Source organism: Homo sapiens, chromosome 19 (genome assembly GCF_000001405.40).
Source record: "Homo sapiens chromosome 19, GRCh38.p14 Primary Assembly".
NCBI lineage: Eukaryota > Metazoa > Chordata > Mammalia > Primates > Hominidae > Homo > Homo sapiens.
Window position 1 is genome coordinate 1,794,919 of NC_000019.10, and position 20,069 is coordinate 1,814,987.

At 58.4% G+C, this 20,069-nt stretch overlaps 1 protein-coding gene across 3 annotated transcripts in view, besides 9 other annotated features; it reads right to left on the reverse strand.

Moving 5' to 3' along the window:
• ATP8B3 (ATPase phospholipid transporting 8B3) overlaps positions 1-17,358 on the reverse strand; it is a 30,202-nt gene extending 12,844 nt beyond the window's left edge. Inside the window, exons 1-18 of one of the 3 annotated variants that reach the window (NR_047593.3) lie at positions 17,268-17,358; positions 16,683-16,966; positions 15,704-15,765; positions 14,725-14,816; positions 13,304-13,417; positions 12,250-12,348; positions 11,710-11,771; positions 11,179-11,590; positions 10,970-11,040; positions 10,456-10,538; positions 7,569-7,727; positions 7,038-7,126; positions 5,341-5,531; positions 5,029-5,237; positions 2,056-2,087; positions 1,793-1,961; positions 1,159-1,347; positions 957-1,069 (exon numbers count right to left, since the gene is read on the reverse strand). Coding sequence is in view for 2 of the 3 variants with exons in the window: in NM_138813.4 (NP_620168.1) it covers positions 957-1,069; positions 1,159-1,347; positions 1,793-1,961; positions 2,056-2,087; positions 5,029-5,237; positions 5,341-5,531; positions 7,038-7,126; positions 7,569-7,727; positions 10,456-10,538; positions 10,970-11,040; positions 11,179-11,251; positions 11,710-11,771; positions 12,250-12,348; positions 13,304-13,417; positions 14,725-14,816; positions 15,704-15,765; positions 16,571-16,818 (2,055 nt within the window). In the remaining variant the exon portion in view is untranslated. Of the gene's footprint in view, positions 1-956; positions 1,070-1,158; positions 1,348-1,792; positions 1,962-2,055; positions 2,088-5,028; positions 5,238-5,340; positions 5,532-7,037; positions 7,145-7,568; positions 7,728-10,455; positions 10,539-10,969; positions 11,041-11,178; positions 11,591-11,709; positions 11,772-12,249; positions 12,349-13,303; positions 13,418-14,724; positions 14,817-15,703; positions 15,766-16,570; positions 16,967-17,149 lie in introns of all 3 variants that reach the window. The other 2 variants (NM_138813.4, NM_001178002.3) reach the window with 2 other exon arrangements.
• Positions 692-1,504: an enhancer, noted in NCBI's record as "H3K27ac-H3K4me1 hESC enhancer chr19:1795609-1796421 (GRCh37/hg19 assembly coordinates)". NCBI's record gives its function as "activates a minimal SCP1, AML or CMV promoter by ChIP-STARR-seq in naive H9 embryonic stem cells {active_cell/tissue: H9 hESC(naive)}" and the evidence as "EXISTENCE:reporter gene assay evidence [ECO:0000049][PMID:30033119]".
• Positions 912-1,206: an enhancer, noted in NCBI's record as "tiled region #3984; HepG2 Activating DNase unmatched - State 4:PromP". NCBI's record gives its function as "activates a minimal TATA promoter and a strong SV40 promoter by Sharpr-MPRA in HepG2 cells {active_cell/tissue: HepG2}" and the evidence as "EXISTENCE:reporter gene assay evidence [ECO:0000049][PMID:27701403]".
• Positions 912-1,206: a silencer, noted in NCBI's record as "tiled region #3984; K562 Repressive DNase matched - State 1:Tss". NCBI's record gives its function as "represses a minimal TATA promoter and a strong SV40 promoter by Sharpr-MPRA in K562 cells {active_cell/tissue: K562}" and the evidence as "EXISTENCE:reporter gene assay evidence [ECO:0000049][PMID:27701403]".
• Positions 1,505-2,316: an enhancer, noted in NCBI's record as "H3K27ac-H3K4me1 hESC enhancer chr19:1796422-1797233 (GRCh37/hg19 assembly coordinates)". NCBI's record gives its function as "activates a minimal SCP1, AML or CMV promoter by ChIP-STARR-seq in naive H9 embryonic stem cells {active_cell/tissue: H9 hESC(naive)}" and the evidence as "EXISTENCE:reporter gene assay evidence [ECO:0000049][PMID:30033119]".
• Positions 4,944-5,114: a silencer, noted in NCBI's record as "fragment chr19:1799861-1800031 (GRCh37/hg19 assembly coordinates)". NCBI's record gives its function as "represses an EF-1alpha promoter that drives an FKBP-Casp9 reporter gene in an ReSE screen in HepG2 liver carcinoma cells {active_cell/tissue: HepG2}" and the evidence as "EXISTENCE:reporter gene assay evidence [ECO:0000049][PMID:32094911]".
• Positions 8,999-9,199: a silencer, noted in NCBI's record as "peak3225 fragment used in MPRA reporter construct". NCBI's record gives its function as "represses an SCP1 promoter by STARR-seq MPRAs in K562 erythroleukemia cells {active_cell/tissue: K562}" and the evidence as "EXISTENCE:reporter gene assay evidence [ECO:0000049][PMID:32103011]".
• Positions 16,866-17,611: an enhancer, noted in NCBI's record as "H3K4me1 hESC enhancer chr19:1811783-1812528 (GRCh37/hg19 assembly coordinates)". NCBI's record gives its function as "activates a minimal SCP1, AML or CMV promoter by ChIP-STARR-seq in primed H9 embryonic stem cells {active_cell/tissue: H9 hESC(primed)}" and the evidence as "EXISTENCE:reporter gene assay evidence [ECO:0000049][PMID:30033119]".
• Positions 17,072-17,441: a silencer, noted in NCBI's record as "silent region_9744". NCBI's record gives its function as "represses an Ori minimal core promoter by ATAC-STARR-seq in GM12878 lymphoblastoid cells {active_cell/tissue: GM12878}" and the evidence as "EXISTENCE:reporter gene assay evidence [ECO:0000049][PMID:35858748]".
• Positions 17,992-18,151: an enhancer, noted in NCBI's record as "active region_13626". NCBI's record gives its function as "activates an Ori minimal core promoter by ATAC-STARR-seq in GM12878 lymphoblastoid cells {active_cell/tissue: GM12878}" and the evidence as "EXISTENCE:reporter gene assay evidence [ECO:0000049][PMID:35858748]".

Here is a 20,069-nt window from a genome sequence, read left to right on the forward strand (position 1 = left end):
AGCTGGGCCAGCTCAACCGCACGGTCGTCTTGTGCAAATGAGAAAAATACACCCTTGGCCGGGCGCGGTGGCCTACGCCTGTAATCCCAGCACTTTGAGAGGGCGAGGCGGGTGGATCACCTGAGGTCACGAGTTGGAGACCAGCCTGGCAACATGGTGAAACCCCATCTCTACTAAAAATACAAAATTGGCCGGGCGTGGTGGCGGGCGCCTGTAGTCTCAGCTACTCAGGAGGCTGAGGCAGGAGGATAGCTTAAGCCTGGGAGGCAGAGGTTGCAGTGACTCAAGATTGCACCATTGCACTCCAGCCTGGGCAACAGTGCAAGACTCCCTCTCAAAAAAGAAAAGGCAGGCTGGGCGCGATGGCTCATGTCTGTAATCCCAGCACTTTGGGAGGCCAAGGGGGCAGATCACCTGAGGTCAGGAGTTCAAGACCAGCCTGGCCCACATGGCGAAAACCCATCTCTACTAAAAATATTAAAATTAGCTGGGTGCACTGGCGTGTGCCTGTAATTCCAGCTCCTCGGGAGGCTGAGGCAGGAGAATCACTTGAACCCGGGAGGCGGAGGTTGCAGCGAGCCAAGACTGTGCCACTGCACTCCAGCCTGGGCGACAGAGCAAGACTCTGTCTCAAAGAAAAGAAAAGAAAGACAAGACAAGAAAAAGAAAAAGACGCTCTCTCTCTGGGGGCTACACTTGGGAGTTCAGCTGCCTCCCAGCCGGTGTGTGTGTGTTTTGTGTGTTGCCGGGGGAGGGTGTTTTGTACAGTGCACAACATACCTCACTGTACATAGCCATCCCAGGTACCTGCAGCCTTCCATTTCTCCGTACAGTCTCCTCCCCTGCCTCCTCCTCCTCCTGTCCCTACACACACACACACACACACACACACACACACACACACACACACACACACACACACACACACATAAGCCAGCCTTCCTGAAGGGACTCACAGCCAAGGCCTCCTCTGTGGCAAATTCCATTGCCCCCCTCCTGTGCAAGCGTTCGAAGATGACCGTGTCGGCGCCCTTGGTGTACAGGCAGATGGCGCCCTCTGGCTTTCGAACTGTGGGGGAACAGGCCCTGCTGCCCACAGAGGCTCCCCGTCTGCCCGCCCCACCTTGGGGGGCCCAGGGCTTGGGTGGCGGGGCTCACCCAGCACCGACATCCGTTTGCGCGTGCTGTTGAAGTCCATTATGGCCAGGACCTGGTAGACCCGTTCCTCCCCCAGCTCCATGATCGTGACGGTGTCCTGGGTGCGGGACAGGAACACGTAGCCGAAGTTCCGGGCTGCGGTGACCAGCGCCCCCTCGTCGGGGGAGGCCGCCTGGTACAACAGCTGGTCTGGTAGGGAGGGGGGCCATTTTGGGGTCACGTGGTGGAGCCCGTCTCCATCTCCACAGTGCAGGGAGGAGATGGGTATCGCCTGGGCTACACCTTTATTGATGGTGGCCGGGGACCCCCGCCTGTACAACCCAATGCATGGAGGTGAGCACTTGAGACTAGACGACCTTCCCGCTCAACAACAGATCCTCGGGCTCCGACCGCAGGCCTGGACATCCTTTAGCCCTGACGATGACACGTCCGCCCTCCCGCCACGATGCTTGTCAGCACTGTCTGGGCTCCAGGCCCGGACGCCCTCGAGGTGCGGCTGGTGTCACACCGGCCTCAGCGCCCCCCAAGCCAGCTGAAAGCCCTGGAAGATGGGCCGGGTGAGCTGCGGGGCTGGGGACACTGCCGTGCCCCGGGGGCTGAGCGGCCTCAGAGATGGGGAGGTGGGTGGGCGCACCTGGGCGCTCACGGGGGCTCTCCCGCACCATCACCGTGTGGCAGATGGCCAGCAGGCGCCAGAACTCCCGCACGGCCTCGTCCCCGTTGGTCCGCACGAGGTGCAGCAGGGCCGCATTGTGGAAGAGCAGCTTCCCGTCGGCGAACTTGTTCCAGAGGTAGGGGTTCTCCTGGGGGTGGCGGGGGCACGGGCCGGCTGTGGGTGGGCCGCTCCCCGTGCCCCGTCCCCCTCACCGTCCCGCGCTGCAAGCCAGGCAGGCTCACCTTAGGTCGGGTCGTGGCCTCTGAATCCGGCCCTGGGGAAAGACACAGCTTCCTGCTTCAGCTCCCACAGGCCCCCCATTCGGGATCCCATAGCCCCTGACCCCTAGTTTCAGGCTTCCGGGGGCCACTGGTGCAGCCACACAAGCCAGGCCTGTGGCCCTGGAACCGACACCCCGAGCAATCTTGGGGCGAAAGCTGACCTCAGTTTCCACCACCTGCAGAAAGCGGGGAAGAGGGGAGCACACCCATCCTGTCTCCCAGGGACCCCAAAAGGACAGCCTGGAGCCGGATGCGGCCCCGTCCCGTCTCCCAGGGACCCCAAAAGGACAGCCTGGAGCGGGATGCGGGCTAGGGACCCCAAAAGGACAGCCTGGAGCGGGATGTGGCCCCTTCCTGTCTCCCAGGGACCCCAAAAGGACAGCCTGGAGCGGGATGCAGCCCCATCCGTGGGACACACTTTGTTTCCTCCTCCTGGGGTTTTTGTTCTTTTTTATTTTTATTTATTTATTTATTTATTTATTTATTTATTTATTTATTTATTTTTGAGACAGAGTCCTGCTCTGTCGCCCAGACTGGAGTGCAGTGGCACAAGCTCAGCTCACTGCAACCTCAGCCTCCTGGGTTCAAGTGACTCTCCTGTCTCAGCCTCCCGAGTAGCTGGGATTACAAGCTCATGTCACCACGCCTGGCTCATTTTTGTATTTTTAGTAGAGATGGGGTTTCACCATGTTGGCCAGGCTGGTCTCAAACTCCTGACCTCCAGTGATCCGCCCGCCTCAGCCTCCCAAAGTGCTGGGATTACAGGCGTAGCCACCGCACCCAGCCACTTTTTATGCTTTATTGTTCTTAGAAATGGGGTCCTACTCTGTGGCCCAGGCTGCAGTGCAGTGGTGCGATCATAGCTCACTGCAGCCTCAACCTCCCGGGCTCAAGACATCTTCCCTCTTCAGCCTTCCAAGTTGCTGGGGCAACAGGTGCATGCCACCCCTTTGTGGTGTCTTTTGTGTGTGTGTGTGATGGAGTCTCTCTCTATCACCCAGGCTGCTGGAGTGCAGTGGCGTGACCTTGGCTCACTGCAACCTCCACCTCCGGGTTCAAGCAGTTCTCCTGCCTCAGCCTCCTGAGTAGCTGGGACTACAGGTGCCTGCCACCATGCCTGGCTAATTTTTGTATTTTTAGTAGAGACGGGGTTTTGTCATGTTGGCCAGGCTGCTCTCGAACTCCTGACCTCAGGTGATCCACCCGCCTCAACCTCGGGCCCATTTTTCTATAGCTGAACTTGAACCATTTCTTGGGGACTTCTCACTACACTAAATTATGACCCAGTCCAAACCACGTGCCCTGGTTATAAATTAGACCCGGGGCTGTCAAACTACACCCCACCACATCATCAATTTTTGTACGGCCTGCGAGCTAAGAATTGTTTTTGGATTTTTAATGGTCAGGAAAAAAAATGACTAGAATAATACTAATACTGTTTTGTGGCCGGGCGCGGTGGCTCACGCCTGTAATCCCAGCACTTTGGGAGGCTGAGGCAGGCAGATCACGAGGTCAGGAGATCGAGACCATCCTGGCTAACACGGTGAAACCCTGTCTCTATTAAAAATACAAAAAATTAGCCGGGCGTGGTGGCGGGCGCCTGTAGTCCCAGCTACTTGGGAGGCTGAGGCAGGAGAATGGCGTGAACCCGGGAAGTGGAGCTTGCAGTGAGCCGAGATCGCGCCACTGCACTCCAGCCTGGGCGACAGAGCGAGACTCTGTCTCAAAAAAAAAACAAAAAACAAACAAACAAACAAAACTATTTTATTTTGTGATCTGAGAAATACTCAGCAATTCGAATTTCAGCATCCACAAATAAAGGCTTGTGAAAGTCAAAAGAAGAGCAGTGGCCGGGTGTGGTGGCTCACATCTGTAATTCCAGTGCTTTGAAAAGCGGAGGCAGGCGGATCGCTTAAGCCCAGGAGTTCAAGACCAGCCTGGGCAACATAGGGATTCCCTGTCTTGACAAAAAATACAAAAATAAGCTGGGTAAGGTGGCACTCTCCTGTAGTCCCGGCTACTTGGGAAGCTGAAGTGGGAGGATTGCTTGAGCCCAGGAATTCGAGGCTGCAATAAGCTATGATTGCACCACTGCATTCCAGCCTGGGCGGCAGAGCAAGACCCCATCTCAAAAAATAAATAAATACACACTGTTTAAAAGTTTGGCTAGGTGTGGTGGCTCATGCCTGCAATGCCAATATTTTGGAGGCTGAGGCAGGCAGATCACCTGAAGTCAGGAGTTCGAGACCAGCCTGGGAAACAGGGTGAAACCCCATCTCTACTGAAAAAAAAAATACAAAAATTAGCCAGGCGGGGTGGCACGCAACTGTAATCCCAGCTACTTGGGAGGCTGAGGCGGGAGAATCAACCCAGGAGGCGGAGGTTTCAGTGAGCAGAGATCGCACCACTGCACTCCAGCCTGGGCAACGAGAGCAAAACTCCGTCTCAGAGAGAAAAAAAAAAAAAAAGTCGGCCGGGCGTGGTGGCTCACGCCTGTAATCCCAGCACTTTGGGAGGCCGAGGCAGGTGGATCGCCGGAGGCCAGGAGTTCGAGACCAGCATGGCCAACATGGTGAAACCCCATCTCTGCTAAAAATACAAAAAAATTAGGTGTGGTGGCAGGTGCCTGTAATCCCAGCTACTCGGGAGGCTGAGCCAGGAGAATCGCTTGAACCTGGGAGGTGGAGATTGCAGTGAGCCAAGATTGCACCACTGCATTCCTGCCTGGGTAGACAGAGTGAGACTCTGCCTCAAAAAAAAAAAAAAATTTTCCTGGCCCCCTCCAAAGGAAACCAGGCCATCTGGCTACGGTTCCCTGGTTCAGATTCGGGCGGAGGTGCTGGGCATGGGGCCAGACGTGGCTCTGGTTCTCAGGCACCCTGAGCCCCTTGAAGATCGAGGACCCAGCTGGGAGCTCAGGTGTCGGGGCCGCACCATAGACGCGGCCGCTGATGCAGCACTTGTTGAAGGTCAAGATGTTCTGCGTGAGCGTGCCCGTCTTGTCCGAGAAGATGTATTCCACCTGGCCCAGGTGGTCGTTGAGGCTGGTGCTGCGGGCCTTGGCAGGCACGTCCTGCGGCTTGTAGTACATCTGCACGTCCCAGTCGATGAAGACGCTGTTCCCCAGGTAGATGAACTCGGACCTGCAGAGGCACTCAGGGTCACGGTCAGCCCCGCCTGCTGTGTGCCATCCCCATGCCTCCCCGTTCCGCGTTTGCACCGGGGACGCAGCCGGCGGAGACTCACAGGATGAACATGGACATCGGGATGGTGACGCTGAGCAGGATGAGGAAGCTCCAGAAGACGAAGAAGGACTCTGCGGCCACGCTGCTCCCATGCACCCCCGAGAGGTAGTAGTGGTGGTCTTTGAATTCTTTGACTGAGAAACCGAAGCCGAAGGCCAACACCAGGCAGACAAGCACCACGGAGATGAAGATCTGGAAGGCAGACGCGACAGGGTGGGTGAGGGGGGCGGGGGTCCCCCACTCTGCCATCAGGATGGGGTAAACACAAAGATAAGGCTGGGGCTGGGCACAGTGGCTCATGCCTGTAATCTCAGCACTTCAGGAGGCTAAGGCAGGCGGATGGCTTGACGTCAGGAGTTCAAGACCAGCCTGGGCGACAAAGTGAGACCTCATCTCGACGAAAAACTTAAAAAATAAATTAGTCAGGCATGGTGGCGCACACCTGTAGTCTCAGCTGCTCAGAAGGCTGAGGCCGAGGATCGCTTGAGCCCAGGAGGCTGCAGTGAGATATCATGGCGCCACTGCACTCCATCCTGGGCAATAGAGTGAGATAGAAAAACTTTTTTTTTTTTAATTTTTTTTTTTTTTTGAGACAGAGTCTCGCTCTCTCTCCCAGGCTGGAGTGCAGTGGCGCGATCTTGGCTCACAGCAAGCTCCGCCTCCCGGGTTCACACCATTCTCCTGCCTCAGCCTCCCGAGTAGCTGGGACTACAGGCGCCCGCCACCACGCCCGGCTAATTTTTTGTATTTTTAGTAGAGACGGGGTTTCACTGTGTTAGCCAGGATGGTCTTGATCTCCTGACCTCGTGATCCACCTGCCTCAGCCTCCCAAGGTGCTGGGATTACAGGTGTGAGCCACTGCACCCAGCCGAAAAACATTTATTTATTTTTATTTTTATTTATTTATTTATTGAGACAGAGTCTTGCTCAGTTGTCCAGGCTGGAGTGCAGTGGTGCAATCTCAGCTCACTGCAACCTCCACCTCTGGGGTTCAAGCGATTCTCCTGCCTCAGCCTCCCAAGTAGCTGGGATTACAGGTGTGAGCCACCACGCCCAGCTAATTTTCGATTTTCTGTAGAGACGGGGTTTCACCATGTTGTTCAGGCTGGTCTCAAACTCCCAACCTCAGGTGATTCACCCACCTCGGCCCCAGAACGTGCTGGGATTACAGGCATGAGCCATCTCACCCAGCCTAAAAATATATTTATTCTGGCCAGGCACGGTGGCTCATGCCTGTAATCCTAGCACTTTGGGAGGCTGAGGAGGGCGGATTGCTTGAGCTCAGGAGTTCGAGACCAGCCTGGGCAACATGGTAAAACTCCGTCTCTACTAAAATACAAAAAAATTAGCCAGGCGTGGCGGCGTGCACCTATAGTCCCAGCTACTCGAGGGGCTGAGGCAGGAGACTTGCTTGAACCCGGGAGGCAGAGGTTGCAGTGAGCCAAGATCACGCCACTGCACTCCGGCCTGGTGACAGAGTGAGACTCCATCTCTAAAAAATAAATAAATACATAATTATTATTATTTTATAAAACTTTTTAAAAAATTACTTTAATGAAAAATTTTCTGGCCCAAAGACCTGCCCACAGGATCAGGCCGCACATTTTGCAGAAGAAGGAAACTGAGGCCTGGAAGATGACATCCCTGACCCTGCACTCCTCTGTGTTCCTGGGGCAGGGGCACTTGTTGGCAGCTCACCACAACCACCAGCTTGTTCATCAGGAGGTCCAGCTTGGTTCTCTTCAAATGGATCTTGCCACAGTTCTTCATAATTTTTGTGTCAAAACCTACAAACATGTATCCATCTATCCACCCACCCACCCACCCATCCACCCCTCACCCACCCATCACTCACCCATCCACCCACTCCCCCACTCATCCACCCACCTACCCATCCACCCCTCACCCACCCATCACTCACCCATCCACCCCTCACCCACCCATCACTCACCCACCCACCCTTCCACCCCTACCCACCCATCACTCACCCATCCACCCACCCCCCACTCATCCACCCACCCACCCACCCATCCCCACATCCAGGCACCCACCCACCCACCCATCCCCACATCCATCCACCCACCCATCTGCCCATCTATTTGTCTATCCATCCATGCACTCATCCTCTCACACATCCATCCACCCACCTACCCACCCACCCATCCCCACATCCATCTACCACGCTCCCATCAGTACAGCTCCCACTCCAGGACCCTGGAGCAGCCGTACCAGCATAAATGACCAGTCCATAGCAGGTGTCTGTGTTGCGAATCCTGCAGCCTCGGAGGAGGAGGTTGCCAATGTCCAGGGAGTATTTCTTGTCATTCCATTCCAGGCACCCCACGAAGTGGTGCATCCGACTGTTAGGCGCCTCACACGTCACTGTGCCTGTGGGTGGCCAGGTGGTCAGTGGGTCAGTGGGCTCAGGCCCTCCTCCCCAGGTTCCCTGCACCGGGTGCAGGTGAGAACATTCCGGCCACCCTCACGAGCCCCTCTGTGCCCCAAACTTGCCCTATGGTGCCCCAGCACTGGGCTGCCTCCAAAGCCTTCCTGTCCCCACCTGGCCTCAGGGACTTTGGGCAGGCTGTTCCTTCCACGGGGACTCACACTTCCCTGATCCTCCAGCCAGATCAGCCCCTCCTAGCTCCTAGCTCCCTCCCTCGTGGTTCTGATCCCAGCATGTGACGAGACATTTATCTGTGCAAAGCTATTGTTAATGTCTGTGAACTCCATGAGAACTGGTGCCAGCCTCATCTCGGCCACACTCTGACCCCAGGGCACGGACCAGCACCTGCATGCAGTAGGTGCTCAATAAATGTGTCAAGAGGGAAGAGGAGAAGGGACGCCTGATCGATGAGCCTCCTTTTGGGTGCCGGAGCCTGTCTACCACCACCACCAGCCCCCCATTCACCAACACCCTGCAATGGCCTCACTTCATTGGAGAACTGCACAGACTGGCCCGGGGCAGCATTCAGTGAGGGTTAAAATGACAATGGGGCATGGGTTGGGACCCCAGAAGAGAGAGGGGCCACAGGGTTCCTGAAGGGTCCTCACCTGCCTCCCCATCGCGTCTTAGGGATGGGGACCCTGACTCCATCCTGGATGCAGGAATTGGAGACGCTCATGGTGGGACGGCCAGAGGGCAGAGAACCACAGGGCAAGCCCACACCTCAGGCCACCTCTCTGAACCTCAGTGTCTTCCTCTGAAAAATGGGTCTATGCCCAGTGAGAATGCTGGGGCAGATGGACGAGGCCAGGGCCCACAAAAGCCTCCTTGCTCAGCCCGGGAGGAAATGCTAGAGGAAGAGCCGCTGCCTGTCTATGAGTCTGTGTCCCAGTGGTGTTAAAGAAGGAAGCCGGCCGGGTGCGGTGGCTATGCCTGCCATCCCAGCAATTTCAGAGGCCGAGGCGGGTGGATCACCTGAGGTCAGGAGTTCGAGACCAGCCTCACCAACATGGTGAAACCCCGTCTCTACTGAAAATACAAAATTAGCTGGGCGTGGTGGCGGGCGCCTGGGATCCCAGCTGCTCGGGAGGCTGAGGCAGGAGAATCGCTTGAACCCGGGAGGCGGAGGTTGCCGTGAACCAAGATCGCGCCACTGCACTCCAGCCTGGGCAACAAGAGCGAGACTCTGTCTCAAAAAAAAAAAAAAAAAAAAAAAGGAACCTTTAGCCAAGTTCTGGGACTGTCAGGGAAATTAGAGAGGATGGGTGTGGCCCCCTCCACCAGGGCTAAGCCTTTCCCCAGATATCACAGACAGATGGGGAAAACCTCTTTGGGTGTCAGGAGCAAGGAAAAGATTCTGTCCTCAAACCAATTAGAGTGACTCTCCTTCACAATAAGATAAGAAAACCAAACAAAACTGTACCCCCAGACTGGGCTGCAGCAAAGAGTAACTGTTTCCACATCACGTGTGAAACATCTCCAGGTGGAAAATAAGAAACCGTCAAGCAGGCCGGGTGTGGTGGCTCACACCTGTCACCCCAGAACTTTGTGAGGCCAAGGTGGGTGGATCACCTGAGGTGAGGAGTTCGAGACCAGCCTGACCAATATGATGAAACCCCGTCTCGGCCGGGTGCGGTGGCTCATGCCTGTAATCCCAACACTTTGGGAAGCCGAGGCAGGTGGATCACAAGGTCAGGAGATCGAGACCATCCTGGCTAACACGGTGAAACCCTGTATCTACTAAAAATACAAAAAATTAGCCAGCCTGGTGGCGGGCGCCTGTAGTCCCAGCTACTCGGAAGGCTGAGGCAGGAGAATGGCGTGAACCCAGGAGGCGGAGCTTGCAGTGAGCCGAGATTGCGCCACTGCACTCCAGCCTGGGCAACAGAGCGAGACTCCGTCTCAAAAAAAAAAAAGAAAAAAGAAACCCCGTCTCTATTAAAAATACAAAAATTAGCTGGGAGTGGTGGCACGCACCTGTAATCCCAGCTACTCAGGAGGCTGAGGCAGGAGAAACGCTTGAACCTGGGAGGCAGAGGTTGCAGTGAGCCAAGATCGCACCACTGCACTCCAGCCTGGGAGACAAGAGCGAAACTCCGTCTCAAAAAAAGAAAAAGAAAAAGAAACAGCCAAGCATTGGAGGTGTCAGCACTCTGTTCTCAGAGGCCTTCCCACCACAGGAATTGCCAGCCCATGCACGCAGGTGCCTTTTCAATGAAACAACCAAACGTGACTGTGTTATGGTTAAATTTTACACTTAATAGAATGTAGCACTTTATTTTTGGTTTTGACACAGGGGTCTCACTCTGTTGCCCAGGCTGAGTGCAGTGATGTGATCACAGCTCACTGCAGCCTCAGCCTCCCTGAGCTCAAGCGAGCCTCCCACCTCAGCCTCCCAAGTAGCTGGGACCACCGGCATGTGCCACCACGCCCAGCTACTTGTTTTATTTTTGTAGAGATGGGGTCTCGTTATGTTGTCCAGGCTGGTCTTGAATTCCTGGGCTGAAGTGATTCTCCTGCCTCAGCCTCCCAAAGTGCTGGGATTCCAGGTGTGAGCCACTGGGCCTGGCCAGCACCTTGTTTTAAAAACAGTAATAACAACAACAAAATACCCTAACTTTTAACTTTTACAGATTCGAGGGACGTGACTCCCTGCTCAACGCCTCTCACCTTGAAAGGACGCCATCTTCTTTATAGTGGCCAGTTCTTTGTGGGTGACCATCAGGGCCTGTCTGAACTTCAAGTTGGTCTCCCTGGTGACGAGGAGAGGAGGGAGGTGAAAGTGGAGTTGATGGATGCTTCGAGGAGCCCCCAGACCCCTTCTGGAGTCACTCAAACATTTTCACTGAGCACCTACTAGTTCGCCAGCTGCCAGTCAGATGGCTGAGGCCCAGAGAGGGAGAAGGCCTTGCCCAAGGCCACACAGCACATTTGCAAAGTGCTGAGGCCAGGGCCTAGGGCCTAGGGCCTCCTGCCCGTATGCACACAATGGAAACAATGGGGAGGGTGGGCGTCTTCCTCCCCTCAGTGCCTGGCAGCACCCACGCCCCAGACACTCATGGGGTGAGTGACCAAAGTCTCTGAGCGACCTTGGCTGGCCGCCTCCTTGGTGACTGGGGAAGGGGGCTCCTCCGGGCCATGCTCCCCACCCCCCAGGGTCCCCAGCGATGCCACAGCTCCTCACCCGTCAATGTCCACCGTCTCCACATAGCACAGGCTGCTGGGCTCCGTGCTGGCCAGCAAGAGCATGTCGGCCTGGTGTGGAGTGGGGGGCAGCGTTGCAAGAGGGGATGCAAGACAAATTGGGGGTGCGGCAGCCCTCCCCACCCTGGGAGGGGTGCTCTCGGTGAGGGGGCGCGTGGTTCTGGGACCTCGGGGTCAACCCCAGCTCACTGGGACGATGTTGTCCTTGCGGAGACAGACCACATCCCCCACGCACAGATCCTGCCATTTCTTCTGCTTGAAGCTGCGGGGAGAGGGGGTTGTGAAGGAGGCCCCTCCCTCTGCCAACCCTCCCCACACCGGGAGACCAGAGGCACGGGATGACGGGGGGCCCGCAGCTGCAGTCCCCACCTCCGGGCCTTTGCCCCCTCAGGAAGCCTTCCCCGGGCTCCCACCCCACTCCCCGCGGGTCCACGCTCCCACCCAGTGACCTCCAGGGTCCTGCACCCACGTCCTCTTCAGACTTTCCTTGTCCTCCCCATCGCCCGAGCCCTAAGCTCTGCAAGGGTTCGCCATCAGGGCCTCGGCCTCTGTCCTCGTCCCGGCCAAACGCCTAATGAATGCAGGCCCGGTTCCTGTCGGACTCAACCAGCCGGGAGATCAGGGAGCACGGAAGGTGATGGACACTTGCCGAGGCCGATGACCCTGCTGGGCTGGAGCCCCCGTGTCCCCGCGGATCCCCAGCTGCAGCCCCAGCCTCACCTCTTCCCCATCAGAATCTGGCAGGGTCTGTTGTTGATGGCTCTGTCACTCTTGTGTCTCCCCTGGGCCAGGAGGGAAAGGATCAGAGAGACCGTCCAGCCTCTCCTGCCCCCGCCCAGGCCGCTGCCGCACTGCAGCCCAGCAGTGCCCGCCCGCAACACGGGGTCCCTGTCCGCTGGCCCCACGCCACGTTGCGTCTGCTCAGGGATCCCGGACGTGGGGGCCACTGGACCCACTGCTATTGGCGGGGAGAAGACAGGCGTGCTGCCCACCACCTAGAGTGCCTGCCAGACCACCCCCCACCAAAGCTCAATGGCCCCAAAACCACGCACCGACAGAGCCAACGCCACCTGCGGCACCTGCCCAATGTGGGTGCTAGCAGATAAGGACAATGTAGCCCCAGCAGCTGAGGCTCCCAGGCCCACGTTCCCCTAATGCTCCAGGAAGCCCAGCCCTCCTCCCACTCTCGCCCAGGGATCAAGAGACCCCCCCGACCGGCCCCGCTCCCTCCCCCAGGCAGCTGCATCCAACAGCACTCACCATGTCGTCCACCAGGTCCCGGGTGGCACGGATGAAGAGGAGGCAGACCATAGGGGTACTGAGCGAGAACCAGGGCAGCGTGGAGATGTCGGGAATGCTCTGACGTGAGGGGGCCACAGGAAGGGTCACACCAGCCCACTCCCCCGTCCCCTGCCCTTCCACCAAGCCGACCTAGCCCCGCACTCGACACCACGTGACACATCTGCTGGCCACCTTGACCGGGGTCCAGCCATCTCCTGCAACCCCCAGCCCTCGGGACAAACGCCCCGGCATCCCTCCACCTGCCTGGAACTTCTCCCACACGCCTCGTCTCCCCAGCAAACTCCCCTTCTCCCGTCCAAGCCCAGCTCCCACGGTGCCTTCTCCAGGGAGCCTCCCCCAGCCCCAAGCTTGGCCGCCACTGCTCCCCCTCCCTCCCATGTCCCTGCTTCCCCAGGTCACCCTGCAGGTGTGAGCTCCACCATCCCCTACCCTGGCACCCGGCCAGCGGCCTGCACACAGTAGGTACTCCATTAATGCTGAATGACTCGATGGATGAAAGGAGAACCTCTCCATCCAGAACAGAAATGAGATGTTGGGTGAGAGTGTTTGCTCTGAAAACAGCGCCCCTGGCCGGATGCCGGCCCCACGCTGGCCTGGACCACCCAGGTACCGGGAAGTGGCTCCACAGGTCCTGAGAACATGCTCTGGGCTCCTCCTTCCCCCTCGCCTCTGAGGTCAGCTGGGAGGGCGGGGGCCAGGGGAGCTGCGTGGCCGAGGCCGTTTAGGCTGGGGAACAGCTATGCCTCCCGATGCCCAGCCCTGCCCAGCAGGAACCAGCGGGGCGTGGAGAGGGTGCCGTCATCAGACCTGGAGGGTGCATCCATCCACCTTTGTCATTCAACATGTACTGAGCGCCTCTTGTGTGCCAGGCCCTGGGCAGGGTAGTAGGGACTCAGCGCTGAGGGTCCCAGTCTGTGGGGAGTGGGACGTGAACCCACCCATCACACAGACAAACACATCGATGCTGCCAGGTGGCTAGGGGGGACTTCCTGGAGGAGGCAACACGCCTCACCTGCAGGATGATGATGATGAGGAAGAACAGGTTGGACACGCGGTGGAACTGCTCGTACAGGTTCAGCGGCAGGAACGAGTAGAAGTTGTACTTGGCCGTGCGGATGACATTGGTCTGGAACGAGAGCCGCGGGCTGCCTGGCAGAGGGGTGCCATCCAGGCCAGGGGATGGGGGTGCCCGAGGCCAGACCTGCCTCACTTGGCCTCGCCCAGCATCCTCTGGGCTATGGGACACACACCATTCATTAAGCATCTACTGAGCCAGCAGTTACTGAGCACCTGCTGAATGCAAGGCCTCAGACCAGCATTTACTGAGCACCTGCTGAATGCAAGGCCTCAGGCCAGCATTTACTGAGCACCTGCTGAATGCAAGGCCTCAGACCAGCATTTACTGAGCACCTGCTCAGTAATGTAAAAGCCTGGAGCCAGCATTAATCAAGCTTCTACTGAGTGCAAAGACTCATGGAGCTGTGACCAGCATTTCCCAAAGCAAGACACCCAAGAGGATTTCAGGTAGGGCCGCGATGGACACATTGTACTTTCAGGTTGGGTATTAACTGACCCTCACGTGCACTGGGACAGGGCAAATGAGACACACAGAACTCTTGTGCCAAACCAGTGATTTGGTTAGGACGGGCGGTTCGGTCCTCGAGATGAAAATAAAAATATCGGCCAGACATGGTGGCTCACCCCTGTAATCCCAGCATTTCGGGAGGTCAAGGTGGGTGGATCACTTGAGGTCAGGAGTTCCAGACCAGCCTGGCCAACATGACAAAACCCCATCTCTACTAAAGATGCAAAAAATTAGCCGGGCGTGGTTGTGGGTGCCTGTAATCCCAGCTACTTGGGAGTCTCAGGCAGGAGAATCACTAGAACCCGGGAGGCAGAGGTTGCAGTGAGCCGAGATCTCGCCACTGCATTCCAGCCTGGGCGACAGAGCGAGACTCCATCTTAAAACAAAACAGAAAAAAGAAAAAAGAGGCTGGGCGCAGTGGCTTACGCCTGTAATCCCAGCACTTTGGGAGGCCGAGGTGGGTGGATCACCTGAGATCAGGAGTTCGAGACCAGCCTGGCCAACATGGTGAAACTGTCTCTACTAAAAATACAAAAATTAGTCAGGCGTGGTGGTGCATGCCTGTAATCCCAGCTACTTGGGAGGCTGAGGCAGGAGAATTGCTTGAACCCCGGAGGTGGAGGTTGCAGTGAGCCGAGATGTCGCCACTGCACTCCAGCCTGGGCAACAGAGGGAGACTCTGTCTCAAAAAAAAAAAAGAAAGAAAGAAAAAGAAAACGAAAACCAAAAAAAGAAAACTATCGAGCAAATACAAGCAGAGGCAGGACTCAGGAGGAGCAAAAAATAGATTCCCCGAGGGTACCACGGCAGCTCCTCTGGAGCAGGGAGGCGCGGGAGGGGCCGCCCACCTTGTATTTCTTCCTTTGCCAGCACAGGATCACCTTCTCCTTGAACTGCCCGTTGTAGGCACGGTTGTTGGCCTGGACCTTCCAGGTGAATGCTGCAGCGAGAGAGCCGGGCGTCGCTGGAGCTCGAGGCCCAGGACAAACACCCCTAATGACCGCCCGGAGGAGGGCTCATGGGGCCCGTGGGACCCAGGCACTGGGGAGGCCCGAGATGTCAGAGCCCGTAAACAGACAGTCGGGCAGCAGGCACCACCTGGGGACCTACCAGACCCTGCCCATAGTTGGCGCCGGCACAAGTGGATTCCGAGAGTGGCCACCCACACCCCCAGCCAGGGGCCTGTCCTGAGACGCAGAGAACAGGCCCTGGGAGACCGTTCAGGCCTGTACATTTTACAGAGGGGGGTAAACTGAGGCTTGGTGATGGGCTCTTGGGTGTCCAAGGCCATACATCCAGCTGGCGGCCCAGATCTTTCTGGGCATGCAGCCCCCAAATCCTGAGCCAAATCCCCCAAACCCAGTCAGTACTAGGGTTGGAGACTACTAGAAACCAAATGAGAATCCTAGGCAAGGCCTGACGTGCAGGTCTGGGGGCCCCAGCCCGTCTCAGCCTCAGCCCTGCACTTTTTTCTTTTTTTTGAGATGGAGTCTCGCTCTGTCACCCAGGCTGGAGTGCAGTAGCACAATCGCAGCTCACTGCAACCTCCACCTCCTGGGTCTCCTGGGTTCAAGTGATTCTCCTGTCTCAGCCTCCCAAGTAGCTAGAATTACAGGCATACGCCACCACGCCCAGCTAATCTTCGTACTTTTAGTAGAAACGGGGTTTCTCCATGTTGCCCAGGCTCTCGAACCCCTGACCTCAAGTGATCCACCCGCCTCAGCCTCCCAAAGTGCCGGGATTACAGGGGAGAGCCACCACGCCTGGCCAGCCCTGAACTTCATAATCCCTCCCACCTGCACCGCCCCCTCTGCCCAGGATCAGCACCTGAGTTCCTGTCCTCATCTTGGAGATCTTCTCTCTGGCCGAGGCTGCCCATGCTGGTGGGGCTGTGGGAGAGAAGGGCCCCGGGTCACAGCAGTGACCCCAGCCCTTGCTGGGCACCACTCGGTCTTCAAGGAGCTCACAGCCTAGGGGCCGACCCTCTCAAATGCTACCTCCCACACTCATCTGCAGCCTCCCCGCCAGGCTCTGAATGTCCAGCCATAGGCTGTGTGTCTTGCCTTGGACATCCTGAGACCTAGGGGACCCCAAGATGATCCTCAAACCTGCAACAGCCCATCTGCCAGTGTCCCCCGCCAGCCACCCTGGTCGCCTCCCGCCAGTACAGCCTAGAAGGACTCTACCGCCAGCCATGCCAGCCTCTGGCCATGCCAGCCTCCGGCCACTGCTCCCCACACCTCGCTTTTCCTGAAAGGACCACTCTCACCTCCTCCTGGTTTCACTGACGGCCTCCTGCCCCTCTCCCCATGTGGCACCAGCTTAGGGGCTCAGTCATCTGTTCACTGACTGAATGGGACCCCCGGGCTATATGTTATATCTCAAAACACAGCATGAGGGTCAGGCATGGCCACTCCCCTCCTCACCCCCCCAGGCTGGGCAGCAAACTCTGATGGGGGCGATGGAGGCAGACGGACATCGTCAGAAGATCCTGGAATCTTCTCCACTAGCAGGTTCAGGAATGTGGGTCTGGCTCTAGCCCTGCACCGGGGGCCCTGGTTTGGCCCCCTATGAGGATGGGCAAACCACCCCTAGACGCCAGCAACTGGCCCCCCACCTGCCAGCTCTCTAGCAGTGCCCTCCCCGCCAAGCCCCTGCCCCTGTGTTCCGGCCACCCGATGCACCCGTCCTCACCCTTCTGGTCTCCATTCATACTTCCTAGCCCGGCCAGGCTGGGCCTTGTGCCTCCTCTCAGGTGCCCCTCTGCCTGGGGAGTCTCCCATCCCAGCTCTGATCACCGTCTCACCTCCGCGGATGCCAGCAGGACCTGAGCCTTCCTGAGTCACGTCTGAGTCACCCGTGTCCCCAGGTCCTGGTGGGGCAGGGCTTGGCTCAGGGCCAGCTCTGGTGCTCCTGGGAGTCTGAGCGGGGCCAGTGCCCATTCACCGCATGAGGAAAAGGGAGGTTCAGGGCGAAGAGGGGTTTAGGCTGTGGGACGGGGGAGAGGTGGGGGAGACCCCCGTGGGGGCAGACTGGGGATTGGAGAGTTGGAGAGAATGCTCAAATGGCCAGAATCCACTCGAAGTGTATCTGGGGGCAGAAAGAGACACGGACACAGCGCTGGCTTCCTGCCCCCTCACTAACTGGGATGCCCCATTACTCGGAAGCCCCCCACCCCGTCTTCCCGCAGCCGCAGGGGCACAGGACCGCCCTGGACAGGGCTCCAGAGTCCAGGGCTGTCTGCACCCGCCCCGGGGCCCCGACCGCGCGAACCTCTAGGGGCGCGCTCTCCACCCCCGCCGCCACGACCCCAGCTCTCAGCCTGGGTGGAGCCCAGAGAGGGTGCGCGGGCTCCCGGGGACGCACAGCAGTGGGAGCACCCGCCGCTCACCGGCGCAGGAGAGGCAGGGGGGGGCAGGCCGCGGGCGTCCAGGGCGGCGGACGTGGTGGAACCGTTAGCCCGGTGCCAACGGTCCTGAAACGGGGGGCGGGATCTCGGGGCGGGGCCTCGGGGCCCGGCCAAGGCGAAGGTGGAGCCAGTTCGGACCCCGGAAGGGGGCCGGGGGCGGGGCCTGGAGGGGGTGGGTGGGGCCAAGGCGAAGAAGGGGCGGGGCCTCGAGGGTGGGGCCGAGCGGAGCACGGCCGAGCAGGATGGGGGCCAGGCCTCAGGGACGCGGTCACGGCCGAAGGGCGGGGCCTCGCAGAGCCTCGCAGAACAGGCCGGGATAGAAGACGCTCGGGAGCAGTGCCTGGGTCTGGGGAGGGGCCGGGACTTTGGGGAAGGGACTAGAAGGAAGGCGAGGACGAGCGGGGTCTCGCTGAGCAAAGTCAGAGTAGGGGCGGGGCCAGGACTCAGGGGCTTGGCCAGAGCGGGAAGCGGGGTTGAGCATGGCCTTGCGGAGCAGTGTTATGGTAGGGGCGGGGCTGGGATCCGGAGCCGTTACAAAGGAGGAAGGCGGGGCCGCGCAGAGCAGGGTCAGGGTAGGAGGGCGCTCAGGGTGGGTCCAGGACAGAAGGCAGGGCCTTGGGAGGGCCTTAGGGAGCAGTGCCAGTGCAGGGGCGGAGCCTGAAAGGGAAGAGGGTGTCAGGGCAGGGCCGGGCCGGGCTTGGTCAGGGAGCAGAAAGAACCTGCACCGCAGGGCGGGGTTGGAAGGGTTCTTGGAAAGGTGGGCCTGGGTCAGGTCGGAATGGGCCTTGCAGACCTGACGGGGCTGAGGCTGGTGCGGCCAGCGTGGCAGAGTGCAGGAGGAAGGACCACAGGTAACGGCGGTTATGTAAGTCATGTCTGATCCGTGTCCTGGGTTCGTTCATTCATCCCATACACGTTCAACGAGCGCCTCCTAGGCGCAGATGCAGGGCTGAGCACCAGGCTGGGGAGAGGCGGTTATAGCCATTGAGACCACCCTAAGGCCAAGAGGAAGCCCGCAGGGTTCTTTCCAGCAGGTGGCAGGGGCTCAGGGATCCTTACTGAAGAAGTGGCAGGGGTGAGTTCAGCGACGAGGCTAGGGCGGGTCCAGGCCAGCGATAGGGCCTGGAGCCAGGGTCAGAAAGTGTGTGCGGAGGGGCTGCTGAAGATGAAATGCCCCCAAGAGTGAGGCTACCTGGGGTGAGGGCCCAAAGGGAGAGGCAAACATGGGTGGAGGGGGATAGGGAAGCCACCTCCCCCATCAAAGCGGCAACCACCTGAGGGCTCTCGGTGATCACAAACCCTCTTTCTTTGGAAGCCCAAATTGGAAGCCTGCTTGGCCCTGGAGGCTGCCAGGGAACCTCTCTTTTTTTGGAGACAGAGTCTCACTGTGTCACCCGGGCTGGAGTGCAGTGGTGCGATCAGAGCTCACTGCAGCCTCCACCTCCTGGGCTCAAGCGATCCTCCTGCCTCAGCCTCCAGAGTAGCTGGGACCACAAGCAGGCAGGCAGGCCACTGTGTTTGACTTCTCTCCTTTCATTCCTTCAACACTTCCCCTGTGCTTGCTTGCTTGCTCAGTGGTTACGAAAAAAAGCCGGGGCTGGGAGTTTGAACACACTGTTCTAATAAACTTTAGAAGAGACCTGGTTGGGTGCAGCTGTGAGGACCAGATTCCCCCACCCCAGCCTTCGCAGGGGGCACTATCTGGGGGCAGGAGCTTGCCCAGGGCACTTGTGCAAAGGCCCTGAAGCCTCCAGTGGCAACAGGTGGCTTCACAAGCTGAAGGGAGTCCCTGGGGGCTGAAGCCAGGGCTGGCCAGCCTTGGGACCCCCCGTGGGCTATGTCCTGAGGCACCAGGTGCGTTCTGGGAAGGGGGAGGCAGACATCACATGGGAATGCACAGAAACAGAGCGCATACACGCCTGCGCCATTTATTTAGAACACAGAGCCGGGCACAGTGGCTCATGCCTGTAATCCCAACGCTTTGGGAGGCCGAGGCAGGTGGATCACTTGAGGTCAGGAGTTCGAGACCAGCTTGGCCAACGTGGTGAAACCCCATCTCTACTAAAAATACGAAATTAGCCAGGTGTGATGGCACAGCCATAATCCCAGCTACTCGGCAGACAGAGGTTGCAGCCAGCTGAGACTGGGTGACAAAGCGAGACTGTGTCTCAAAAATAAAGAAGAAAAAGAAAACAACTCCTTTACAGAAGAGGTGGGAGAGTCACTAGTCACAAGAACAGCCCTCGAGGGTGGAAGGGCCTGGCCTAACCACGGTCCCCCAGGAGGGCCCTGGAGAGATGCAGAGCCCAGAACCGGGAAGGGAGCCTTGGGATGGAGTCCTCTGGGGAGGGCCCCCACGTCCTCATCCCGGGACCTGTGCCCTTGGCCTTGCCCTTCAGCAGAAGCCCAAGACCAGGGTGGCAGGAAACCCACTCCAGGCAACCTGCCCCCAGCTGCTGGGTCCTGTCCCGCAAGGCTCATCACTTTTTCTACTTGAGGTCAATAAAAAGTGGGGCCTAAACACCCCTGGGCCTCCCATTTCCAAATGGGGTCCCGATGCAACCACAGTTGCCCGAGACGTGCGTGCACTACACAATGTGTGGCGTTTCCTGGCAAGGGCCGGAGCAGCTTTCCGTGTCTGCACTCCATCCTTTGACGGGCAACACACAGCAGCTCCCAGTCTCTTTAACCCCCTCTCACCATCTGTGTGCAGTCCCTATCTCTGGGCAGGGCAGAGAGGGAAGCCAGCTCTGTGCACAGGGCCCAGCTCCACACAGGGCTGGG